At 39.9% G+C, this 26064-nt stretch overlaps 1 protein-coding gene across 6 annotated transcripts, besides 2 other annotated features; it reads left to right on the top strand.

The window, feature by feature from the left end:
• Window positions 1012-1061: an enhancer, noted in NCBI's record as "active region_20142". NCBI's record gives its function as "activates an Ori minimal core promoter by ATAC-STARR-seq in GM12878 lymphoblastoid cells {active_cell/tissue: GM12878}" and the evidence as "EXISTENCE:reporter gene assay evidence [ECO:0000049][PMID:35858748]".
• On the top strand, window positions 1550-24673 carry CPOX (coproporphyrinogen oxidase). Of its 6 annotated transcripts, none has more exons than XR_001740025.3 (7): window positions 1550-2212; window positions 4006-4149; window positions 4419-4529; window positions 6307-6448; window positions 9502-9720; window positions 16891-17094; window positions 21591-24673. XR_001740025.3 is itself a non-coding variant. In NM_000097.7 (7 exons), the coding sequence occupies exons 1-7, from the start codon at window positions 1657-1659 to the stop codon at window positions 14476-14478; spliced, it is 1365 nt and encodes a 454-aa protein (NP_000088.3). In that variant the 5' UTR covers window positions 1550-1656; the 3' UTR covers window positions 14479-15715. The 6 variants fall into 6 exon arrangements, 5 of the variants coding, with proteins under 5 accessions (NP_000088.3, XP_005247182.1, XP_047303429.1 ...); NM_000097.7 differs by lacking the exons at window positions 16891-17094; window positions 21591-24673 and adding exons at window positions 13650-13754; window positions 14391-15715; XM_005247125.5 differs by lacking the exon at window positions 21591-24673 and having other exon boundaries at window positions 16891-18989.
• Window positions 1562-2011: a silencer, noted in NCBI's record as "silent region_14560". NCBI's record gives its function as "represses an Ori minimal core promoter by ATAC-STARR-seq in GM12878 lymphoblastoid cells {active_cell/tissue: GM12878}" and the evidence as "EXISTENCE:reporter gene assay evidence [ECO:0000049][PMID:35858748]".

Genomic DNA, 26064 nt, shown 5'->3' with positions numbered 1-26064 from the left:
CCCTAAAAGTCGCTTAGTCACTTCTCAATCCAAGCCTTTACTTTTCACAGATTCTCAGTGGTGAGGCTTCGGCAAGCACACCCACCTTGCTAACATCATGTCCCAGTGAGAGCTGCCAGGTACAGTTGTGTGTGGACAAGATGCCAATTGATCTGACTCAAAAGCCATTGAAGTTCCATCAGTGCATCCTGCCACAAAGAAAACACTTGTGGGAAAAGCTACCAGTGGCTTAAATTATTATCTACTACTAGAAATTAAAATCATCCCGGAGACTTATGGGACAAATTAGCCCATGACAATAGTTCTCACACTTTTACGTCCAGGAACCATGGAGCTGTGGTATGGTTACAGGGGAGACAAAGACCTGCCTGTCAAATCTATTAGCTTCTTTCCTCATTTCTTTAAAGGGTGGGGGAAGGGAGACAGAGTAGGAGGAAGTGTGGATATTTGCCTTGCCTAGTTTGTAGCAGTTGTTGTAAGTATTAAACGTGAGCAATATTTGGGAGCACCCTACAGTAGTAGAATAACTATTTTTTAAATTCTTATTTGTTAATCACCAAAACACACCAAGTCAGGAATTTTCTACTGGTTAACCAAAACAGTCACGTTGCTTTTCCTTTTTCTAAAATAATCAAGTAGGCACTATAGAAGCAAGGCCTGGGGAAACCTTTTTTTTTTTTTTTTTTTTCTGAGACAGAGTCTCACTCTGTCACCCAGGCTGGAGTGCAGTGGTGCGATCTCGGCTCACTACAACCTCTGCCTCCCGGGTTCAAGCGATTCTCCTGCCTCAGCCTCCCGAGTAGCTGAGCCTACAGGTGCACGCCGCCACGCCCGGCTATTTTTTTGTAGTTTTAGTAGAGACAGGGTTTCACCATGTTGGCTGGTCTCGAACTCCTGACCTCATGTGATCCAACCGCCTCGGCTTTCCAAAATGCTAGCATTACAGGCTTGAGCCACCGCGCCCGGCCCCAGCCTGGGGAAATCTTAAGGACAGAACTGTGATGTGGACTCGATCACAGAAAGTCTTCTCCTCGACTCTCTTCCGAGTCCATTACTAGCTTCTCCCACTCTCTTTAGAAAACCATCCTTCAGCAAAGAGTTTCCCAGCCTGCCCATCCCCTCTAAAAACTCTAGAGGACCAGGACCCAGGGCGAAGGGCGGGTCTATACAGATCCTGAGCCAGGCTCTGTATTCGCAAATCCTGTTTGAAAATGTAAGCGGGACTGGGATCTCTGCCACATTTCCGCCCCAGTCCGCCCTCAGCCTCCCAGCCCTACTCTATCTTCTCTCCTTGGCTGAGTAAACAGCCGACCCGAGGTTGTACGTGACAAGAAAGCCTCTTTTATCTCTCCCGTCCCTTCCACAGCACCGTCCCCGCCCCACTCTCTTCCCTTCGGACCAGCCCTTCTGGGCGCGTCGGATTCTTATCTCCCGCCCCGCGCAGGGACGCCGCAGGCGGCGATAGGATCCGGACTACAGCTCCCAGCGCGCCCCAGTTCCCGCCCCCGCCTCCGGAGCCCGACGCTGCAGCGGCTCTTCTCGAAAGGTTCTTTCCGCCTGTGCAGCTCGCCGGCTCAATACTCCGGGGGTCTGGGTGGGGGGCTCAAACGCAGGGCTCTGGGACGCAGGCACTGCTCCAGGTGATAGTGCGGGAACATGGCCTTGCAGCTGGGCAGGCTGAGCTCGGGCCCCTGCTGGCTCGTGGCGCGGGGCGGCTGCGGAGGGCCCCGCGCCTGGTCCCAGTGCGGCGGCGGAGGGCTCCGAGCCTGGTCCCAGCGCAGCGCAGCCGGACGCGTCTGCCGGCCCCCTGGCCCGGCTGGCACGGAGCAGAGCCGCGGGCTGGGGCACGGCTCGACGTCGAGAGGCGGCCCCTGGGTGGGGACAGGGCTGGCCGCGGCGCTGGCGGGGTTGGTGGGGCTGGCCACCGCCGCCTTCGGGCATGTGCAGCGGGCGGAGATGTTGCCTAAGACCTCGGGGACGCGGGCCACTTCGCTGGGGAGGCCGGAGGAGGAGGAGGATGAGCTGGCCCACCGCTGCAGCAGCTTCATGGCCCCGCCTGTGACCGACCTGGGCGAGCTGCGAAGGAGGCCGGGCGACATGAAGACCAAGATGGAGCTGCTGATTCTGGAGACCCAGGCCCAGGTGTGCCAGGCTCTGGCACAGGTAGACGGGGGCGCCAACTTTTCTGTGGACCGGTGGGAGAGGAAGGAAGGTAAGGAGGCCGGCCCCTGGCGGGAGTTGGAGACAGGGAAAAAGGGTCAGGTTCCAGGTTGCAGACAGAAAATATAATAGTTCACAATATGGGATGGGGTAGGTAGGGGGTACCCACAGAGAGGCCGCTTGGTTAGAGGCCGCTGATAAAAAGATGGACACGAAAGGGTCACTAGCCCTCTGCTTGCAGGTATGGACCCGGATCAGCTGTCACTGTAGTACTGCATTTCAAAATCTTTGCAATTCCGTAGCAGCATTTTTTTGTAGAACTCTTAAGGGGTATTTGCAGCTAACAAGCTTAGATGTCCAAAGTTCGTTACTGAACATAAATTTCAATAGATTATGGAACACATTTTCTCTCCTTCTCTGGGTGAATTTGCCCTTTTTCCTCTTTAGGAGATGGAAAGAACTCATCTCCTGTGCGCTAAGTGTCGGCTAAACTCCTCCAGCCAGGATGTCATTGTGTCAGAATCTTCCCACTTCTTTTTACTGTTACACAAGATATATTTGATTCGTTTCTCAGTAGCACTACCAAATGCACGCATCAGATTTCCTGCTAGGAAAATCTTCTCTTCCAATATCAAAATACTTGAGCATCAAAACCCAGTTCTCGTAGAGGCGTACATTCATGACCATGTTGTTGCCCATACAGTGAAACCCCACATCTTGAGTGGAAACTTGAAAGATTCCTGACTTTTCCTAGCTGGAAATACAACAGCAGCTTCTCACCGGCAGATTTTGAGCTGTGATACTGACACATCTATATTAAATGAAGTTCAGTCTAGTTTTCCATCTTATGTTTTCAAGCAAAGACCACTGAACCAGGACACAACCTCAAGTACTAGACCAGCTGTGTGATCCTCAGAAGTTACTTTTTTATGGCTGTTTTCCCATCTATGAAATATATATGTATTTCATCTCTTTTAATCCTCATACTACATATATATATATATATATCCATATACATATATATATATATATATGGATGGAATATATGTGAAGTGCTTAGAATATTGTCTGAAGCATAGACAGCATTTAGACAAATTGTTGCAGCCACTTGTCAGCAGTTTGATCTTGGATAAGATGTTTTGCCCCTCTGGTCCTCAGTTTTCTCATTTGGAATATATGAGGGTTGTACTGGATCATCTTATGTCCCATCCAGCTCTAAATGTTCTTAGAAATAAAACAAGCCAAACATGAACTTTCATGAAACATTGCCCTTGCAGTGACCCTAATACCTTAAGAAAAAAAATTAGTAAGGCTGATACACGTGAATACTAATGTGCGTCTCACTCACTCTAAGGTTCTGAATCCCTTCAGAATTTGATTACCTACTGTTTCTTAATTGCTTGTAAATTAAAAGGCAAGCAGCCCACTGAGAAAGAAATTTTTGAAACAATATAGATCTCTTAAATTCAGTAATAATAGAACACCCTTCAAGTCTACCCATTCCTATTTTTAACCTTAGCTTTCTCTCATATATCATAACTGATAGATGCCATTCTGAACAGTAGAATCTGAAGGGAGAATATTCCAGTGATTTATTTTAGATGATGGCAGGAGAATGTTGAAGAAATATTCAGTTTAGTGATATGAGAAGGTCTAGTATTTGCCCAATATTAATAGCATATGTCATAAAGCTAAGCTAGTTATCTAATTGTATTGTACATAAAATGATAAATACACTGATATAAAAGATTTGGGAAACGGGAAAATAACCATCTTCATGCAAGTGTTGCTTTCAGTTTTGCACATACTCTTACATTCTCTCCTTTTTTACATTTCTATACACAGGAGGTGGCGGCATCAGCTGTGTACTTCAAGATGGGTGTGTTTTCGAAAAGGCTGGGGTGAGCATTTCTGTTGTTCATGGAAATCTTTCAGAGGAAGCTGCAAAACAAATGAGAAGCAGAGGAAAAGTTCTGAAGACTAAAGATGGTAAATCAGACAGTCTTGATAGTCTCTAATAGTCCCTGCAAACCTTATTTTGCCCACAAGTTTTATTTATAAAATAAATATTGCTTCTGAAAAAAGCCATTCGGGTTCATATGCCGCACGTTGACAAATACTTTTTTAAAATTATGTTTTTAAGTGACAAATTAAAAAGCAGCTTTTGAAAATTGACTTGGAAATCATATTAGAGTGAAATTGTATCAAGGCATTCAAGGTAACTGAATATAGCTCATGACTCATATTTTACTTTCCAGGTAAATTGCCATTTTGTGCTATGGGCGTGAGCTCTGTTATCCACCCCAAGAATCCTCATGCTCCTACTATCCATTTCAACTACAGATACTTTGAAGTAGAAGAAGCTGATGGTAAGGGTCTCAGGAGCTACGGAAAGTACTGTCGTGCAAAATGTGCATTTTAAAACAGATAAGAGGGCATAACATCTAAAAGCGAGAAAGAATAGTCTTAATTAGGTCTTTCAGGAGGCAATGTAAAGGCAATTTCTTGGCAAGTGCAATGGATTATGCCTGAGACATGACAAGTAAGAATGGGGCCAGGCTTGGTGGCTCATACCTGTAATCCCAGCACTTTGGGAGGCTGAGGTGGGCAGATCACCTGAGGTTAGGAGTTTGAGACCAGCCTGGCCAACATGGTGAAATCTCCTCTCTACTAAAAATACAAAAACTTAGCTGGGCGTGCTGGCACGCACCTGTAGTCCCAGCTATTCGGGCAGCTGAGGTGGAAGAATCACTTGAACCTGGGAGGCGGAGGTTGCAGTGAGCGGAGATTGTGCCACTGCACTCCAGCCTGGGTGACAGAGCGAGACTCCGTCTCAAAAAAACAAAACAAAACAAAACAAAAAGAATGGTATTGACTGACTCTAACCTTCCCATATTTCCTCCAACATAGAAGGAATGAACCTGAACTTTAGTGTGCACCCAGAGTTCTTTGCAAACATAAATTCATTACATCTGAAGGAATACCTTATGTACGAGGTTAAATTGAAATTGAGAACTTGCTTTTGGAAAATATTTTACATATGCATAGCTTTGCTAGTCACCAGGGCATTAGCAGTGGGTTTAAAATGGGATGCAGTTGATCATGCCTCCTGTGCACATAGTTCCAGCCTGTCTTTTATCTGATACTAGATGTCAGAGTACATGTGCAGTGCCACACCTATTCTTATTGGTGTCTCTGTAGGTGATGGCATTTAAAGTCACTGCTTTAACTTTTCATTTTGAAGCCATTCAGCTTGGTTCAACCTTTTATGTTTAAAGTTGGTAACTGGTATTGACAACTCATGGACCTGTGAGCACATGAAACAGTTATTCTCAAGTGGTAAGTTACCTCAGCAAGTGTTTTTACTCTTTCTAGGAAAGGGGAGGGGTTGGCAATGGTTCTTAATACAAGGAGTGTCAGAATCTCCTGGGGAGTTTTATAAACTACAGATTCCTGGGCCAGAGATGTGTGTGTGTGTGTGTGTGTTTATTGTGATCTAGAAGAGCTATTTTAAGCTCGTCATGTGATTCTTATATACAGCCAGAGTTGCAATCCACTTCCTGATCCACCAGTGTACTGTTTTATCATTCACTGCCCTGCATATCATTCCTTGCAAGTTCCACTGTCTTTCTTTCTTTCTTCTTTTTTCTTGTTGTTTTGTTTTGTTTTATTTTGTTTTTTGAGATGGAGTCTCACTCTTGTTGCCCAGGCTGGAGTGCAGTGGCGCTATCTCAGCTCACTGCAACCTCCACCTCCTGGGTTCAAGTGATTCTCCTGCCTCAGCCTCCCGAGTAGCTGGGATTATAGGTGACCACCACACCCGGCTATGTTTTGTATTTTTAGTAGCAACGAGGTTTCACCATATATTGGCCAGGCTGGTCTCGAACTCCTGACCTCAGGCGATCTGCCTGCCTGGGCCTCCCAAAGTGCTGGGATTACAGGCATGAGCCACCTCGCCTGGCCGCTTTTACCTCTTTTTTTCTGCCTAGGCCTTACTGGTCTTCAGAGCTAAAATCAGTTAAAATTTTTTTTATTGTCATCCATTTTATGCTGAAAAAATTAAGCTGCTAAATTAAGTGTCCTAATATAGCCAGTAATGCTGAATCTCAAAAGTCCACATTAGAATCCCATGTCTTGATTTGGTAGGCAACAAGCAGTGGTGGTTTGGTGGTGGATGTGACCTCACTCCAACATACTTGAATCAAGAAGACGCTGTCCATTTTCACAGAACTCTGAAGGAGGCTTGTGACCAGCATGGTCCAGATCTCTACCCCAAATTTAAAAAATGGTAGGTAAAGTTACTGAACTTTCATGACCCCAAAATTACATTCTGTTCCTTCTGAAGGCAACTATTATGTCACTAAATACCCTCTTCTGCTTATGAAAATGGAACTAGTTTTCTTACTTTGCTCATCAGAAGAATTAGAATACTGGTTTTAAGTGGTTGTATTAAATTATTTACTTAGAAATATTTAATATAAATTGAGTAGTAATATCTTTTTATTCCAAATGATTTAGAATGGTAGACTATAAACTATAAGGTCATCTATGCTTGAGAATGAGAGGCTTTTTAATCTGGAGTGGGTTGTTAAATTCTTATTCCAGATGAGAATTATTATTCCTGATGTTGACTTGGGAATGTCTAAGGGCATTGGAAGGGTTGGAGAACCACTAGAGGGAGATGCCAACATACCAGAGATTTTGGCCAAGGGGAAAGAAGAATTGGAGAATTTGTTAAAGAAATTCTAATGATAAAATAAGAAAACAAACAAAAGTTGGGAGAAGACCCAGAATATTTGTTATCATCAAATGGAATCTTGGCACAAATTGTTTGGAATATGAGTAAAGTACTCAATTCTGCTTAGAGCCAATTGGCATTCTTGAAAAAGGAAGGACAAAGAATTTTTGTCTTTTTGCTTTGTTTTTAGAGCTAATAGTTGTGGAATGTTAATATTTATGCAAGAGTATGGAGTTCAGCTTTAAAATCGTCAGGAAAGATGAAACATTTGAATATTCTCTTGATTTAATATTACTACTGAAAACTACACAGCCATGGATGCATGCAGATACTGGTTTTTTGTTTGTTTTTTCCTCTCTCTCAGAACTTAGCATCCTTCCAGGAGGACTAATAGAGTAGACAGTTCTCTTTTTTGGTTCCTTTTTCTAGCTATTACTGAGATGACTTTAAGCAGTGTTAGGTAATAAAATATCTAGGATGGTAGCTAGTTAAAAAGAAGTTTTTAGTATAAATGCTTTGGTTTGAATATTTGTTCCCTCCAAAACTCATGTCGAAATTTAACCCCCAATCTGGCAGTATTAAGAGCTGGGGCCTTTAAGAGGTGATTGGGCAGAGCCCTGATGGATGGATTAATCCATTCATGCATTAATGGGTTAAATTCATGGGAGTGGGACTGGTGGCTTTATAAGAAGAGACCTAAGCTAGCACGTTCAGCCCCCCACCATGTGATGTTGTGCACTGCCTCAGGACTCTGCAGAGACCCCACCGGCAAGAACACTCATACTAGATGAAGCCCCTCAACCTTGGACTTCTCAGCTTCCATAACTTAAGAAATAAGTTCCTTTTATTTATAAATTATGCAGTTTCAGCTATTCTGTTGTAAGCAGCAGAACACTGACTAGGAAATAAGTAGATCACTTAATTTTGTAATGTTTTAAAGAGAGATTTTGAAATAGTATGATTTGGGTTAAAAACTGACTTTACAACTTTACTCAGGATATACTTTTTTAGACTATGTTAATAAAATGTGCATATAAAGAAGGCCAACAAGTCACGATTAAGGTGAATTCTACCTATGCGTCAGTTCTAGGGATTTGCATCTGTTGTTTTTTGTTGTTGTTGTTTAAGCAATTGAAGCTGTATTTAAGGTAACCTTTTAAATAGCTTTTAGTTTTTGTTTGAGCATGTTTTTCTATTTAAGGACCCTTATGCAGAGATTATCAAAAGAACTACTTTTAGGATATAAACTATTTTACAAGTTTAACAGTTAGGAAATGGCTTCTTTTTTGTTTGTTTGTTTGTTTGTTTGTTTGTTTTTTGAGATGGAGTCTCACTCTGTCGCCCAGGCTGGAGTGCAGTGGTGCGATCTCGGCTCACTGCAAGCTCTGCCTTCCGGGTTCACGCCATTCTCCTGCCTCAGCCTCCCGAGTAGCTGGGACTACAGGTGCCCACCACCACGCCTGGCTAATTTTTTGTATTTTTAGTGGAGACGGGGTTTCACCGTGTTAGCCAGGATGGTCTCGATCTCCTGACCTCGTGATCCGCCTGCCTCGGCCTCCCAAAGTGCTGGGATTACAGGCGTCAGCCACCGCGTCCGGCCCAGGAAATGGCTTCTTAGGAAACCTGTTCTAGTAGTCATAGAGGGGAAAAGACTCAAGAACAGATTAATAGTTTTATGTGCTGCCTCACAGGGTAAACTTTCATATGTCTGATATGACATATGAAATAATAAAAGATATCATCTGAACCTTTTTTTCCACCAACTTTTCCCTGTCTTTCATGCTATAGAACCATCAAATTTTATTTCTGAAAGAGACCTGAGAGATTGTTTATAGTACCTTCCTTTGGTGAATAAAGAACTCACTCAAGAGAGCTTGGATTTGCACCATGGTTGGTGTCATTGTTAGTGGAAGATTCCTGTCCTCCTGCCTCCTACAAAAGCAGCAGTGCTTCCGAAGGCAGCAGCTTATTCCAAGAAATACACTATCGATATTGGACTGTTTCTCTTTTCACTAAAGTTCTTAGAGTTTCACATCCTTTACAGAGACTTGTGTGAAATTGCCTGTTCGCCTTGAAAATAAGAGGATAAGCAGCCAGGCATGGTGGCTCACGCCTGTAATCCCAGCACTTTGGGAGGCCGAGGCAGGCAGATCACGAGGTCAGGAGATCGAGACCACCCTGGTTAACACAGTGAAACCCCGTCTCTACTATAAATACAAAAAATTAGCCAGGTATGGTGGTGGGCACCTGTAGTCCCAGCTACTTGGGACGCTGAGGCAGGAGAATGGCGTGAACCCGGGAGGCGGAGCTTGCAGTGATTCAAGATCGCACCACTGCACTCCAGCGTGGGGGACAGAGCAAGAGTCCGTCTCAAAAAAAAAAAGAAAAGAAAAGAAAAAGAGGATAAGCATTTTCTACCTTGGTGATATCTGCAAAAAATCTATCTGTCTAAAGTCCTCATTTCATTTTCATAGTTGGACAGCAAGTAAGGACACCATCCTGACATTAGTTGAGGATAGTGCTGTAACCTGAAAGGCTCACATTGATTTTCATGTCTGTTTTTTTCCATTTGATCCCTGGTTTGGCGCCGCTGTGTTTTCCAGGTGTGATGATTACTTCTTTATAGCCCATCGTGGAGAACGGCGGGGCATTGGTGGTATCTTTTTTGATGATCTTGACTCTCCGTCCAAGGAGGAGGTGTTTCGCTTTGTACAGAGCTGTGCCAGGGCTGTAGTTCCTTCTTACATTCCCCTTGTGAAAAAGCACTGTGATGACTCATTCACCCCCCAGGAGAAGCTGTGGCAGCAGCTCAGAAGAGGACGGTAAGTGACTGGAAAACGAATTCTTTCATGGCTAAGTGGGGGAGGTGGAGCAGCTCTTAATAATAGCGGGTGTTGTGTTGTCAGATACTTTGTAATAGTTGTGTTAATTTCTTTTCATAGATGAATATTAAGTGAATTAAAAGACATTGTGTAAAGTAATATTATAATTATAGCAAAGTTTATTTAATTCATCTATACATTAGAGACTCATAGTAGGCATGTAGTAAGTACTTCCTGAATTTAATTCTGCTGATTTCTCTTAGTCTTCTTGTAATACCCTCCAGCCTTATGTCAAGATGTAGACTTCATTTAATGTCTTTGCTGCTTTGTAAATTTGGAATCACACCTTTTTTCATTCATCTTAAAGATTTCACGGAAGTTATTTTAATGGAAATAATTTCAGAAATTTTGCTGGCCTCTACATTAGGCATTTTGTATCTGATGTTTTTCAACAAACCTGTAAGATAGGTGTAATCATCTTTTTTCAGAAAGTTAAGTCTGTTGCCCAAGAGACACAGCTGGTAAATTTAAGATCTCAGATGTGGAACTGGGTCAAAATGACCTCAAAACTTATAGTCTGTGTAGTGCCTAAAGTTAAGCAGCTGAAGCAGGTTTGTGCTTCTTACCATGATACTCACTTTAACCACCCTGTTCTGTGCAGTGAGCCTGGTGAGCTCAGTGGGGTGTCCAGTCTGAGGCTGTCTCCAGCCACGGTGTACTTGTAAATCCACTCCAAGTTATACAGCCTGCTGGCCCCAATCAGTTTCTCATTGCCACCTTAAATGCCTGTATACTACTGAAACATGGCTATAAAATGGATTTTCTCATTGACGTTAATTCTGTGTTAGGCAAAAGAAGCTTTGGGTACTAAAGAGGTAAAGCTTTTGCCTTAAAGAGGTCAACTTAAATAATGTTTCCAGTCTAAAGATAAACATTTGTGTATATCCTTTCTTATGACTGCCTGTGCTATCTGGTTCCCATTTATTAACTTGAAAAACATGAGAGTAAATTTTTAGAAATTTCTTAAAGAATGCATGTATTTTGGAACATGTTTTTTGTTTGCTTCCATAATTTCTTAAATATACCTTTACCACTCTTTCCTCCTTTCACTTGATACTTATTTTGGGGCCCCTGTGATGAGGCACTATCTTGGCTACCCGGTGGCTGTAACATGGACCTGCCAAAAAGAACCTCATAGTTTAGTGGGGAAGACATACCCAAGAGGACAATTTAGAACTCTGTGCAAAGTAAAGTATTCTAGTTTTGCACAAGATTTCGAAGGCAAAACTTGGCAGATTTTGTCAATACTAATTAGGTGAATCCTTTAAAACTTCATAGACAGGAGTAATGGTTTGTTTTGCGGTTTTGTTTTGTTTTTTATACATCGTTTGATGGCAGATCATTCTGAAAGTCGTTGTTGTGTATCATTGCATGTCTGGTGTCATGAGATAGGCAGAACTGTGGGGTAGTAGATTAATTTTCTATGGTATGGTGTGTGACTGTTCTTCAAAGACAGCTTCTTTCTGCCTCCCTTATCTCTGGTCCTTAAGATGGCAATAAACTCTGGGGCCTAAGATAACTCCAGTTCTTCTCTGGGGCTATCAACACTGTCTTTGGTTTCTAATACTGCAGTCATGACCAGTTTTCTGTATCCTTTTCACTTACTGTTACCCACTTTGCCTCGTCTTCACCCTGTCCAAACACCGGTCTCCCTTTCAGCAGTCAGTCTCATTCCCTTTTGACTTTACAGTCTCTTATTTGGCAATCTCATCCAGTTTCTTGCCCACAGTTACTGCTATCCTCCCCCAGACCTTGAACATCAGTCTTACAGTTATCCTTTTCATAGGAAAACAGAAATTAAAGACTTTTAACTTACTTGTTCGTTGTATTCTGGGAAAGGGAAACAGGATAAAATTTAGGCATTAGTTAAATTGAAGGGATTGGTTAAAGTCCCTAACTTATAGGCACCCCAGAGAGGACAGATGTATGGAAAGGATCAGAAAAGATTAAATAATATTATTTAAAAACAAATATGAAAATGCTGCAACTCAACACTACTTTTATTATGATTGCTGTTAATCTGCAGAGAGACTGAATTATATGACTGCTTATTAATGCAATTAACTACTTTAAGAAAGAAGAATATATAGAATATCAGATCTATACCAGGAATAGGAGATGGAAATTTTTTATTAAAAAAGAAAAATCAGATCTAAGTGCAACTTGGTGGGAGGTAGAGAGGCCAATGTAGAGAAAGGGGCATCCTTCACGCAATAAAGGAAAGGATCCAACAGAAAATTCATTAAGGAATCTTTACAAGGGTCTCTGCGATAGGTCTTCAAATACATCAATATAAACTAGAGAACCATACCCATCCCCTAGAGAGATGTTTCAGAAAGATAATATCAGGTGAAAAAGGTAGCCAAAAGATGAAATTATTTTCCATGGTCTTAGAAAAGGATTCAGAAGATTCACTTAAATTATTTTTTGAAACAGACATAAGAAGGTATTAAATAGTTTTTTGTACGTAAAAGTCAATGATAAATGGTGAGAGTTAGAAAGGGAGCATAGATAAAATTCTTTACACTTTTGCAGGGCTTTTGACAAGTTCCACATACAAAAGGTGCTTTTAAAAAATTAAAGTATTGTGGGCCGGGCGTGGTGGCTCACGCCTGTAATCCTAGCACTTTGGGAGGCCGAGGCGGGCAGATCACGAGGTCAGGAGATCAAGACCATCCTGGCTAACACTATGAGACCTCGTCTCTACTAAAAATACAAAAAATTAGCCAGTCATGGTGGCGGGTGCCTATAGTCCCAGCTACTCGGGAGACTGAGGCAGGAAAATGGGTGAACCCCGGAGGCGGAGCTTGCAGTGAGCTGAGATTGCGCCACTGCACTCCAGCCTGGGCAACAGAGTAAGATTCCATCTCAAAAAAAAAAAAGAAAAGAAAAAAAAATTATTGTGGGAATCTAGAGGATATTTTGCTATAGATGGGCATCAAGACAGTAACCAATAGGTAAATAAGAATATGTGAGTGAAGTTTAGACCAAGGGAGTAATTTCTGAATAAGATAAGAAATGATCTGAAAGGGGCACTGTTTATTGAACTTTTCAGATTATGAATCAGTCTAAATTCTTTTGAGTAGTAGAAATTATCCTTTTGAAATGGGAGAGGGAGACCCGTTTACATCCTATGTTAAAGGCAGATGCAGGGTTTTAAACTGGAAGGAGTCCAGATCTGACTAGGGGAGTTAACATATTGAACCAAGTTTTAGTTGATGCTAAGGGTATTTAAAAAAAAAATGAAAACACTGCAACTCAACACTACCTTTTATTATGATTGCTATTAATCTGCAGAGAGACTGAATTATATGACTGCTTATTAATGCAATTAACTACTTTAGGAAAGAGGAATATATAGAATATCATAGTCCATTATTAATAGATTATTGTTAGCTGTAGTTGGCCTTTCAGGTCAGAAGTTTTACACCATCTTAGTAGTAGTAGTTGTGGGTTACAGGCAGTGAAATGAAATCTTTGAGTCCAAAACATTCCAGATTATGAGGAAGGCCAGAAAGAGCTGGGTTATCCTGAGAAGGGATGCATTTCTTTTTCTTAATTGTTGTTCTGCTTTAAACTTCTCAGCTTTGTGTCAATTCTGTTTACTTATGGGAAAACATAACCTTGTATTGTGACTGCTCTATGTTGGGGCAGAATCTATATTCTATTGTTTGGTGGGTAGAATACCCTTTTATTTCTGCCTGTCCAGATGGAGAGCTCTCAATGGGCTGTAGGCTGGTGTCCTCTGTGCCAGTTCCAGCTGATGGGAACTGGGGGGAAGAACCCACCCCTTTTTAAGTATTTGTTATGGGTTAGTCTTAAGATTTTATTGAGCTGGCCCTTAATGTTATTTGATGTATTTATGGCAGGTATGTAGAATTTAATCTGCTGTATGATCGGGGCACAAAGTTTGGCCTCTTCACTCCAGGATCCAGAATTGAAAGTATCTTGATGTCTTTACCTCTAACTGCCCGGTAAGGAGATAACTCATTTTAGTAGTTATCCCTACACTCCCAATTCCCAAACACCCACAAAATATGAAAGTTAACACTGCAGATGTTGTGCCTAGGTCTTTGTTAGTTTTGACTTTGCTGATTTTATAAGAAAATCACAGTCAAATAAGGCAAATCAAATTGGGTATTTTAAGCGGTGACATGGTGAATCCCACAGCTCTATGAGGGCAAGGAGAGACTAGAGGGAGAGAGAACACAGGCTGAGTCATGGTGGCTAGGAGGTGAGATGGACCTTCTCTGCCTATTTGTTTTTCTGAGAAGAGGTATGCATAAGTATTAAGCTAAAGAAGGTTTGCCCATGGATCACCTGAGTTTCTACACTATATGAAACCCTGGTTTATATTAAAGGTGTATTTTGGCTCTGGGATATTAATACTAGCCAAAGCATACCCAAGAGTTGTTAAGAAACTATTTGTTTGGCAAATAGTTTTTTTAAAGGTCAAGTTGGTACAAGGCACATCAGGCACAGTAGAGACAAAGAAGTATAAGGCTTTTTTTTTTTTTATTCTTAGGATTTTATTTTTCATTTATTTTAAGTAAAGAGGTATGTGTGTCATTTTTTATGACGTTTTTTGCTTTTGTTTTGGACATGCATAGATGGGAGTACATGCATTCACCCTCAGAGAATTCCAAAGAAGCTGAAATTCTGGAAGTTCTACGCCATCCAAGGGACTGGGTGCGTTGATGCAGGCAGAATGGCTGTGCAGGGGTTTGGAGGGCACACGATGTGTGCTCCCCATGCCACTGGTCGGCACTTTGCCACTGTGTGGCAGTTACCCGTGCCTTAGTCTTCTCCACTCTGCACCCTACCTCGTGGGCAGATGATAACATGTTTTGGATGCTGTCAGTGATGAATGGTGAGATGGCAGATTGTCAGAGTCAATTGATTAAACCTCATTTATACTTCTAGTGTCATTTTATATGACTAGTTTACAAAATAGGACATTGAGTTTCCAAGTATTGAGATAAGGGAATATAAATAGTATTATATGTATCAGGAAATCTCTCATCTTGTTTTTGTTTCATGTATTTTTTAAAGTTTTCATTTGTGCCACAAAAATCTGTCGTGGAATATATTTTATTTTCATTAATTCAGTGAAGTTGAGACTTCATAGTAATTTTAGAATGCAACTTGAAGGTAAAAATTTTACTTTGTCAATACTGAAGTCTCTGCTGTAATCCTTATATATCTTTCTCCAGAGAACATAATATTGTCAAATAGATACACATTTTTCTAATAGGTATTTAGAAGCACTTGAAATAATCTCTGCATGTGTTACAATTCAGTTATTTCTGTAGTTTGTAAACTCTAAAGTGACATTACTATTATTTTAGAGATGTCTAAGTTGTAATTTTGATTTTTGTGGAACCATTGTTTGTTAATGTTGGGATTCTCTGCACTTTTGAATGTGAAAGCTTATATCCCTGAATTCTGATACTTAAGAGTTTTCTATTTCAGACATCTCTGTGTGGAAGTTGAGACTAAGAATAATCCTAGGGATGTCATGAATTTAGGCAATGTTTCTCATTTGGAAAATGAAATGAGAAATAATTTCCTTCTTTAAAGCAAGTATATATAGTATGAGAAACTTGGAGGCATTTCATACACACGTTTCTTAGGAAAATGGACACATTGAAAATGTCCTCTTTTTTATATTAGAGATTCTGCAGCTCTTTGCTCTTAAGAGCAAATCACAACAGGATTCTTAATGTATGATTTCTTTGTTCATATATTATGAATGTATTATTTTATTTGCTTCGTAATAAAGTTTATAAGGAAGAGCATCTCATACATATCATTATCGTGGAACACGTTGAATGTTTGTGATTCTGTGTGGCCTTTTTGGGGCTGGAAAATGTATGAATTCTTCAACTGTCTTACAAGAGATCTGCTAATAAATTTTATTATTAAATAAGACTAAGAAATATTTATATTTTTTGTTGCCAGGATAATATAGGAAAACGCATATATTTCTTAGTACAGTTGATCCTTGAACAACATTAGGGCTAGGGGCCCCAACTCCTCCTTACTGCATGCAGTTTCAAATCCTTGTATAACTTTTGACTCTCCCAAAACTTAATCACTAATAGCCTCCTGTTGACTGGTAGCCTGACCAATAACATAGTCAATTCGCACATGTTTTATGTTATATGTATTATATACTCTTCTTACAAGCTAAAGAAATGAAAATGTTATTAAGGAAATCGTAAGAAAGAAGATATATTTGCTATTCATTAGGTGGAAGTGAATCATCGTAAAGGTCTTCATCCTCATTGTTTTCATGTTGGGTAGGCTTAGTGGGAGTAGTAAGAGGAAGAGTAGGTCTTGCTCTCTCAAGGGTGGCAGAGGTGGAAGAAAATCTGCGAAGAAGCAAAACTCTTCAAACCTGTGTTGTTCAAGGCTCAGCTATGCTAATGCCATAGTTCCTCATTCCTAGGTATTTTACTCAAGAAAAATACAAGTTTTGTACTCAATTTTCATAGCAGCTTTATTCAATAGTTGAAAATTAGAAACAACCCAAATGGCTAACAGCAGGTGAGCAGATAAACAACTTGTGATATATGCGTATATTAAAATACTAAGCAATGAAAAGGAATAACTATTGCTAATGACAGTAACATGGGTGAACATCAGAAACATTATGCCAAGTGAAAGCCACACATAAAAGTACTTACTATATGACTACATTATAGGAAAACCTAGAAAAAGCAAAGCTTTAATGACAGAAAGCAGATCAATGGATGGCAGGGGTTAGGGGATGCAGATTTGTGAAAGGGGACAAAAGAGTATTTTGAGGTGATTTAAATGTTTTACATCTTGATTGTGATGGTTACTAGACTGTATATACATTTATCAAAATTCACTGAACTTAAAATGGAATTTTATTGTATATGTGAATAATACTTCAATAAATCTAATACTAGGAAAAATATAGGCATATAGGAACAAATGTTCAGATCAACCTCAGTTTAGCTTTTAAAAAATAGAAAATCACTACATAGTGATGATATAATGCTAAAATGCTAGCCTATTTAGTTGTGTTTAAAGCTGTGGCGGGTAAATGAAGATAAAATTTTTCTGTGCATTTGTTTTCAGTTCTTCAATAACCACGTATTTCTACTATGGATTAGACTATGTCTGAAAAGAATTGCATAACTACTGGAAAACAGATTATCCTACTGTTATTCAAAGTGAATTTCTCTTTCAATTTCTTACTGGTGTTAATTCAGTCTACCTGAAGACCACAGTGCACCTCCAGATGGCCTGAACACCTAACTGTCTTATGCATGCAGGTTCATGGTAATAAAGGGTGTCTGGAGGGGAGAAATGTCAATTCTCTGGAGCAAATTTTTAACCACTATTTTCTGTTCATCACTGTACTCTGCTGACCCTCCTAGTCAGCAGAGTATTTGAGATAAGTGCTTCTGCACGCTAAGGAGTACAAGATTTGAAAAGCCAAATGTTTCTTTATGACTTATCCTTCCATGTGTCTTTTGCTGTTACAATATTTAGAGACAGGAATCTTCTGCAGGTTTTTGACTTGCATGTCTGTACATAGGTGAGGATGACTCAAAGGCTCAGCTCATCTTGGACTGCAGGCTGCATTGCCTATGGGTGGCTCAGAGCACGAATTCCATGGAAAAAGGCAAAGGCAGTATGGTGGTTTTCTGTTCTAACCACTGAGGTTATGTAGTGTCACTTTCTTCACATTCCACTGGACTCCTGACAAGTCTGTCATTAAGGACAGTTCCAGATTCGAGTGGTAGGGAATTAGATCCCAGTCATCTTCAAAACCTCCACACAGCCTTCCACACTCAAAACCACGAAATAGATTGGACTCAACCCTCCACATTGCCCTAATTAGTTCCTGTTGAGTCCCCCTTTGAAATGGCTCCTGGTTTCCTTCCTCTGCCCTTTGCCACCACCCTACTTTAGTCTCACATACTTTCTCATCTGAACTTTTGCAATGCTCTCCCTGCCTCTGGGCACTCTGACCTTTCCCTCTCTTCAGAATTATTTTCCTAGGTCCCATTATCACCACCCTGCTGAAATAGTCAAAGAATCTCCTCTCCAGACAGAATTCTAAAGTCAGTCTGACATTCAAGCAATCCACCATTTAACTCCTACCTCGTGTTTCAGGCTTATCTTCTACATTTCTCTGTGCACTTCAGTCTCAGACCATATACTCACCACTCACCACTTTTCCTGAACTTCCCCCAAATTATATCCCCTCTGGCCTTTTCTCAGGCTGCTGCTATCTCTGCTTGGAATGTCTTATGTGCCCGCTCATCCTTCCATGCCCATTTTAAATCTTCTTCAAGAAACCTTCCTTGGAGTCAATCTCTTCTACCCTTTCAACACATTTTACTTTTAGTATTGCTGTCAACATATTCCATTTACAGTCATTCAATCCACATCCCACTTATTACAAAATATTGAAGGTGGATCTTTCCTTATTTATAGTACCTGCTACCTAATGAATGATGTGTTAACCTTTGTTTTCCAACACTGTTTTGCAATATATCGTAGTATCAAGCTTAGTGTTGTTTAGTTGTCTGTATAACTGTCTTATTCCTAGTCTGTGAAAACAGAAGTTCCCAGTATCTCTAAAAGCCCATTTAGAAATTGTTTTCAAGGATGTATTGTATTATCCCTGCCACAAGTATGAATTATGTATTTGAAATCTCACATTTTAAAATTTCATCTTTCTTCCCAAAGAAACACATAACAATCCAATTTCATAATAAACCTAAATTAGCACATTTAAGTTAGTGACGCTTAGACATTTGTAAATGGCTTGACTAAATTCCCTTGTATTGTTACCTGAAATCAAGTCATAAGTTGTACAACATAAAACCTCACTGATATGGTTAGGGTTTGTGTCCCCACCCAAATCTCACCTGGAATTGTAATCCCCCAAATCCCCAGGTGTCAAGGGAGAGACCAGGTGGAGGTAATTGAGTCATGAGGGTAAACCATCCCCGTGCTGTTCTCGTGGTAGTGAGTGAGTTCTCACAGGATCTGATAATTTTATAAGGTGCTCTTCCCTTCTTTGCTCAGCACTTCTCCTTCCTGCTGCCTTGTGAAGAAGGTGCCTTGCTTCCCTTTTGCCTTCTGCCATGATTGTAAGTTTCCTGAGGCCTCCCAGCCATGCTGAACTATGAGTCAATTAAACCTCTTTCCTTTATAAATTATTCAGTCTCGGGCAGTTCTTTATAGCAGTATGAAAACAGAATAATGCACTCACAGACCTGTTTCTACAAGTTGCTTTTTTTTTTTTTTTTTTTTTTTTTGAGGCAGAGTTTCACTCTTGTTGCCCAGGCTGGAGTGCAATGGTGCGATCCTGGCTCACCACAACCTCTGCCTCCTGGGTTCAAGCCATTCTCTTGCCTCAGCCTCCCGAGTAGCTGGGATTACAGGCATGTGCCAGCACGCCCGGCTAATTTTTTTGTATTTATTTAGTAGAGACAAGGTTTCACCATGTTGGCCAGGCTGGTCTTGAAATCCTGACCTCAGGTGGTCCACCTGCCTCGGCCTCCCAAAGTGCTGGGATTACAGGCATGAGCCAGCACACCCGGCTAATTTTTTGTATTTTTTTAGTAGAGACAAGGTTTCACCATGTTGGCCAGGCTGGTCTTGAAATCCTGACCTCAGGTGATCCACCCACCTCAGCCTCCCAAAGTGCTGGGATTACAGGCATGAGCCAGCACACCCGGCTAATTTTTTGTATTTTTTTAGTAGAGACAAGGTTTCACTATGTTGGCCAGGCTGGTCTTGAAATCCTGCCTCAGGTAATCCACCTGCCTCGGCCTCCCAAAGTGCTGGGATTACAGGCATGAGCCACGGTGCCCGGCCTACAAGTGGTTTTATACTGGATATTCACTAACATATACCAGCAGAGCAAGGTAGTTGAACTGCATTTCCTCTTCCGATCAGTGTAGCCAGCTCTATTCTAGATCTTAAGCTCATTCAAACAGTATTTTCAATAATTCTTTTACTGTTAATCCCTTCATATTTCAAAATGCGTTTGAACATAAAACTTGTCATAATCCAAGCCATCATGGTTTCAATAGGTTGATGCAAATACAGCCACTTAGGAAAGTAAATTGACTTTGCAGTCATTTAGAGTTGCAACACTGACTCTGTCATGGATGTGTTTTCTTATGAGATGGTTGAGAGGTATCAAAGTTCACAAAGCTGTACTGGCTGAATGCCTCTTATGTAATAGCAAGTGAATAATGCTTTCATAAATAAAAGTCTTTATAGCAATTTATCTATGCTCAGATCGGTTCAAGATTGCTTCCATTTTCTGACTTGATGAGGGAGACAGGCTTTTAGAATCTGTTCCACACCTGCTGCTTGACATTCTTCTAACCATTAGTATAATATACAAATCCACAATTTCTTGTAGTTCAAACTGTAGTTTATTAAAAATAACTAGTTCAGATGTCCTCAAAGACCATTTAAATTAATACTACCTGAATACAGGCTGGGCACGGTGGTTCATGCCTCTAATCCCAGCACTTTGGGAGGCCGAGGTGGGTGGATCACCTGAGGTCAGCAGTTCAAGACCAGCCTGGCCAACATGGTGAAACCCCATCTCTACTAAAAATACAAAAATTAGCCAGGCGTGGTGATGGGCGCCTGTAATCCCAGCTCAGGAGGCTGAGGCAGGAGAATCGCTTGAACCTGGGAGGCAGGGGGTGCAGTGAGCCAAGATCGTGCCACTGCACTCCAGCCTGCGCGACGGCGCGAAACTCTGTCTCAAAAAAAACCAAAAACCAAAAAACTACCTTAATACAAATTCTGCTGAAAGTACTTTTTGTTTTTTAATGTGTACTTGATCTTATGTGCTATTCAACGTGAGTGTGGTGCTTAAAAATAATGTATTCCTAAGAAGCAAAAATAAGGACCTACTTTCATCTTTACCTCTCTGCCACCCACCCCGACTCTTCATCTTAGTAATGTGTGGGAGATATGGTATCTCCCCAAACAGCAAGAGGCAGTCTTCAGCTGACGTGCCCTCGTGTGTGGAACAAAGACAAGCCATCGTTGCTGTGCCCTATCAGAATCCCTGACTCACAGAATCTGTGAATGTGATAAAATGGTTGCTGTTTATATGTCATTAAGCTTGGAGTGGTTTGCTAAACAGTAATAGATAATTGAAGCAGATTAAATGTCATTAACAAAAACGAGAAGAGCAGTTTTGAGGTGCTTGAAATGCTTGCAAGCTACCTGTACCAGTATTTAGAGATGTGAACTCAGGAGAGCTCAGTCTAGAAACACAAGTCTACCAATTTTGTAAAAGTGATAATTGAAGAAGTGGAAGAAGGTAAGCCACCCAAGGAAGTGCATGCAGTGTAATAAAAGAGCATCACAGACCGAACTGGGGGCAGAGAAATGAACACGGGATGAGGTATCAGGAAAGACAGCTAGAAGCAGCTATCTGAACAAATAGAATAGGAGGAAGGAAATTTAAAGAGACAAGTGGGATGTGATTGTAATAAAGGCTCAAATATTACAATGGTTGTTTCCAAATAGAAGATGTTAACATGATCTATACTCTATGTTAATATGTTTAATAAATTGGGATTTAAGTTAACACTTAAAAATGATCCTAGTTTATACATTATCAAGGTCTTCTCAGATACTAAAATTTAGATGATAAAATTATCTCCATTAACATACCAGGTTGTGTCTTCAGTTTCTCAAGAATATGAAATTCTTGAAAGAACCAGTAGGTGGAGCAGAAAATCTAATCTGCAGGGGGTTTTTTGTTTGTTTTTTTTTGGCAGGGAGTGGAGGAGGAGAAAGTAAAGAAAAGCAAGGAAGGAGGGAGAATGAAAAAGTGCTGGGAGGAAGAAGGAGAAACGAGAGAGAAGAGGTGGAGAACAGGACAGAAAAAGAGGAGAGGCAAAGAAGGAGGGAAATGAGAAAATTATTTGAAATCTGACTCTTGTTGAACTATGCTGTTGTTGGACAGATTATCTAAAGGAGTTATTACATATTTAATCAAGCATGGCTAATTTGACTATGCTGTTTATGTCTTGTCAAATGTCTCCACTGTGTTTCATGTCTCACTTTATGATTGGGAGATTCTGAAGTTGGCAATGTCTACAATTCCAGTAATGTTGAATGTCTAAATGCTTAGCATCTGAGTTCCTTGGCCATCTCTGAACTGCGAGTTGCCTGAGAAAATGTGAACATTTTTGTCTGAGAATGAATAATGTTAATTTGACTCTCAGAGGAAACATAATTCTAAAAAGATTGAGGACTATTCATCTAAATGTGTGTATTCAATTTAGAGTTTATACCCCAGGGGGTGTGTGTGATTCAGTGAAGACAGGTAGGAAAACATTTTTATCATTTCAAAAGCTCTGTTTGTGTGTAATTTTATTATGTCTACAATACATTAATTTAATTATGTGGGTATTTCACAAATACACACATTTTGGGTGTAAAAAAATCAGCAGCTTGTAATTGAAAAATTGCTTATTCAAATAGTGTATACGTTTTTACAATTTGATGGACTAAAAATGAAAGTGGAGAAGAAAGCAGAATGTCTTGATAAACCAAAGAAAGAATATAATGACCATAAAGCTTGGCTTCTTACCTCTGGCCGGAGTTACAGGGCAGGAAGTGAAAGGATGCTAATTTCCCATTGGTTTTAGAGAAAACTAATGGACACTGTCTAAAGAAATGGAGAATGAAGATGTTAAATACAGTATAGTAAAGGTAATCAGTAGACTAGAAATATAAACCAAACTTAAGTGAGAGACTTTAAACTACAAATTTAGAAAATAACAAGAACCATATGATAAAGCTATAGCAAACATACCCATCCTATCAATCAATAAAAAATGGCATACATATCAATAAATAAAAGTTTCATAACATACTGTTAAAATATTTCAAGTGGGACCATAAAGAAATAGATGCTATAAAAAACAGATACCTTTAAGACAAAATACTTCAGAAAGTAAAAAATGATAGCTATACCAGGCAAGTACAAACTTAAAAAAATGAAGGAGTTATGATACTCATATCAGCCATTATGGAATTCACATCTAAAAGCATAACATAAGAAAAAGAAGAGTACTTAAAATGTGAATGTAAAACGCTATAAATATCAATGGACCAAAGTACATAACTATATTCACAAGGAGAAAAAAATCCAGGAGCTAGACTGATGCACACTTGTAGTTGTTGAATTATTTCACTCAGTCCCTGACAGAGCAAGTCAGGGGAAGCACATTAAAGATGTAGAAGATGTAAATTACATGAGTAACAAAGTGTCTCTAACTTATATATATTTTGAACTCTGAACCCTGAAAATAGAGACAACCCTTCCAAGTACCTAGGGACATTCATAAAAATTGACAAAATTCTTTTCTAAATTACAAACTCCATAAGAAATTTTAAAAAACAGAAACTATACTGACAATATTCTCTATAATACAACAAGACAAAAATGAACAAGCAAATAAAAAACTAAAAACTCCAACATCTTGTAAATTACAACAGCTTTTTTTCTTAGCCCAGTCTTGGATCAAAGAGGAAATATAAACCAAAATTACTCATATCTAGGAAATACTGATAATATAAACAATACCTACTACACCCTATGAGACATAACTAATACAGCGTTTTCTTTTTTTTCTTTTTTCTTTTTTTTTTTGAGACGGAGTCTCGCTCTGTCGCCCAGGCTGGAGTGCAGTGGCGGGATCTCGGCTCACTGCAAGCTCCGCCTCCCGGGTTCACGCCATTCTCCTGCCTCAGCCTCCCAAGTAGCTGGGACTACAGGCGCCCGCCACTACGCCCGGCTAATTTTTTGTATTTTTAGTAGAGACGGGGTTTCACCGTTTTAGCCGGGATGGTCTCGATCTCCTGACCTCGTGATCCGCCCGCCTCGGCCTCCCAAAGTGCTGGGATTACAGGCGTGAGCCACCGCGCCCGGCCACAGCGTTTTCTTAAAGCCTTAAATATTTATATTGATAAAGAAGGAAAAATGAAAATAAACTATTTCTCAATCAAGAAATTTTACAAGACAACCAAGCAAACTGAAGAAAAGGAAAAAGAGAAATTAGCAGGCAGAAACAAGATAAGGATCTTCAGTATCACTACTATTATTCAATATTGTATTAGAGATGCTAAGCTAATAAGTTTAGACAAGAGAAAGAATTAGAAATACAAAGATTAGAAAAGAAGAGGTAAAATTGTAATGATAAAATCTAGAAGCAACCCAAGTTTAATAAATGGAAGAATAGATAAATAAATTCTGGTATATTAATAAAATGAAATGCCCTAGACTCATGTTATGTGTATATAAATTATAGAACTGGGAAAATTAATATGGATGAATATCACAGACATTGAGTGAAGATAAAATAACCTGCAGAACAATACATGCAATGTGGTTCCATTTGTACAAAATTCAAAAGATGCAAAGCTAGGCCATAGGCTATTTAAAGATACACATAAGTGATAAAACTAATGAAAAGCTAATGACAAATACCAAATTCAGGTGAATGGAGAATGGAACTGAGGCAGGATTCACAGATGGCTTCAAAGTTCTTAGTAGTGTTCTACAGCTGGATTCTGATATACAAGTGGCCATTTCAACATTTCAATATATTAATAGGATATTTCTTAGTATCCTCATATTTTATAAATATTAATGTGTATATCAAGTATTTAATTAAAATCTTTTAAGCTATGATCAGAAAAACTCTTACTCTGATACTAACATTCACTTCTGTGGGTTTTCTTGTTGGCATCCTGATACATGTTTCTTTAAAAATCAAGTATTTTTCCCACGTATTTAAATTAGTGTGTATGCTTTGTGGAAATCTTGGAAAATAAACAATGGTATTAAGGATATAATTACATTTGATTCCACCACTCAGAAGTCACCATAAATACTCAAAATTTTGGTATATTTCTTTCTAGGTATTTTATGCATATTTTAATGTAGTTAAATCATATTGCATATATAATTTTGAATACTCACTGTTTTCTTTTTTATGCCTTAAGCATCTCCCCCTGTTATTTAAACCTTTCAAAGGCAGATAATCGACCGGGGCTGAAAATAAGGGGTTTCTTGAAAGTGAGCAAGTGAGCTACTGACTGAGGGCTCTAGCCCATCGGCTGCCCCGTTTCTTTATGGGAACTTGGTCTCCAGCTGGGCAGGAGATTCAAGGGCTTTTTTTTTTTTCCAAATAAATAATGAATAGTTCTAGAGAAAAAAAAAATACTGCTGTAGGCTTTGACATTTTCACTACAAAATGATTAACTCTTTTCTTTGCCCCTACTTTACAAAGTAGAATTTACAAAGAACTTAAAAAAATTTACAAGAAGAAAACAACCCCATCAAAAAGTGGGCAAAGGATATGAACAGACACTTCTCAAAAGAAGACACTTATGCAGCCAACAGACATATGAAAACATGCTCATCATCACTGGTCATCAGAGAATTGCAAATCAAAACCATAATGAGATACCATCTCACGCCAGTTAGAATGGCAATCATTAAAAAGTCAGGAAACAATAGATGCTGGAGAGGATGTGGAGAAATAGGAATGCTTTTACACTGTTGGTGGGAGTGTAAATTAGTTCAACCATTGTGGAAGACAGTGTGGCGATTCCTCAAGGATCTAGAACTAGAAATACCATTTGACCCAGCAATCTCATTACTGGGTATATACCCAAAGGATTATAAATCATGCTACTATAAAGACACATGCACATGTATGTTTATTGTGGCACTATTCACAATAGCAAAGACTTGGAACCAACCCAAATGTCCCTCAATGATAGAATGGATAAAGAAAATGTGGCACATACACACCATGGAATACTATGCAGCCATAAAAAAGAATGAGTTCATGTCCTTTACAGGGACATGGATGAAGCTGGAAACCATCATTCTCAGCAAAACATCACAAGGACAGAAAACCAAACACTGCATGTTCTCACTCATAGGTGGGAGTTGAACAATGAGAACACCTGGACACAGGGAGGGGAACGTCACGCACCGGGGCCTGTTGGGAGGTAGTGGGCTGGGGGAGGGATAGCATTAGGAGAAATACCTAATGTAAATTATAAGTTGATGGGTGCAGCAAAACCAACACGGCGCATGTATACCTATGTAATAAACCTGCACGTTGTGCACATGTACCCTAGAACTTATAATAAAAATAAGAGCAAACAAAATTACTTGAATCAATGAGAAAACATTAGAAAGAATAATAGATAGCCAGGGTCATCAGA

This window comes from Homo sapiens, chromosome 3 (genome assembly GCF_000001405.40).
Source record: "Homo sapiens chromosome 3, GRCh38.p14 Primary Assembly".
Classification (NCBI taxonomy): domain Eukaryota; kingdom Metazoa; phylum Chordata; class Mammalia; order Primates; family Hominidae; genus Homo; species Homo sapiens.
This window is presented reverse-complemented; position numbering and strand designations above follow the sequence as displayed.

Excerpts from the sequence above, each read along its gene's own strand:
- CPOX (NM_000097.7), top strand. The coding sequence starts at position 1,657 with ATGGCCTTGCAGCTGGGCAGGCTGAGCTCGGGCCCCTGCTGGCTCGTG. Across the intron at positions 2,213-4,005 it reads CCGGTGGGAGAGGAAGGAAG|GAGGTGGCGGCATCAGCTGT; the intron begins GTAAGGAGGCCG and ends TTCTATACACAG. Across the intron at positions 13,755-14,390 it reads TCTTTACCTCTAACTGCCCG|ATGGGAGTACATGCATTCAC; the intron begins GTAAGGAGATAA and ends GGACATGCATAG.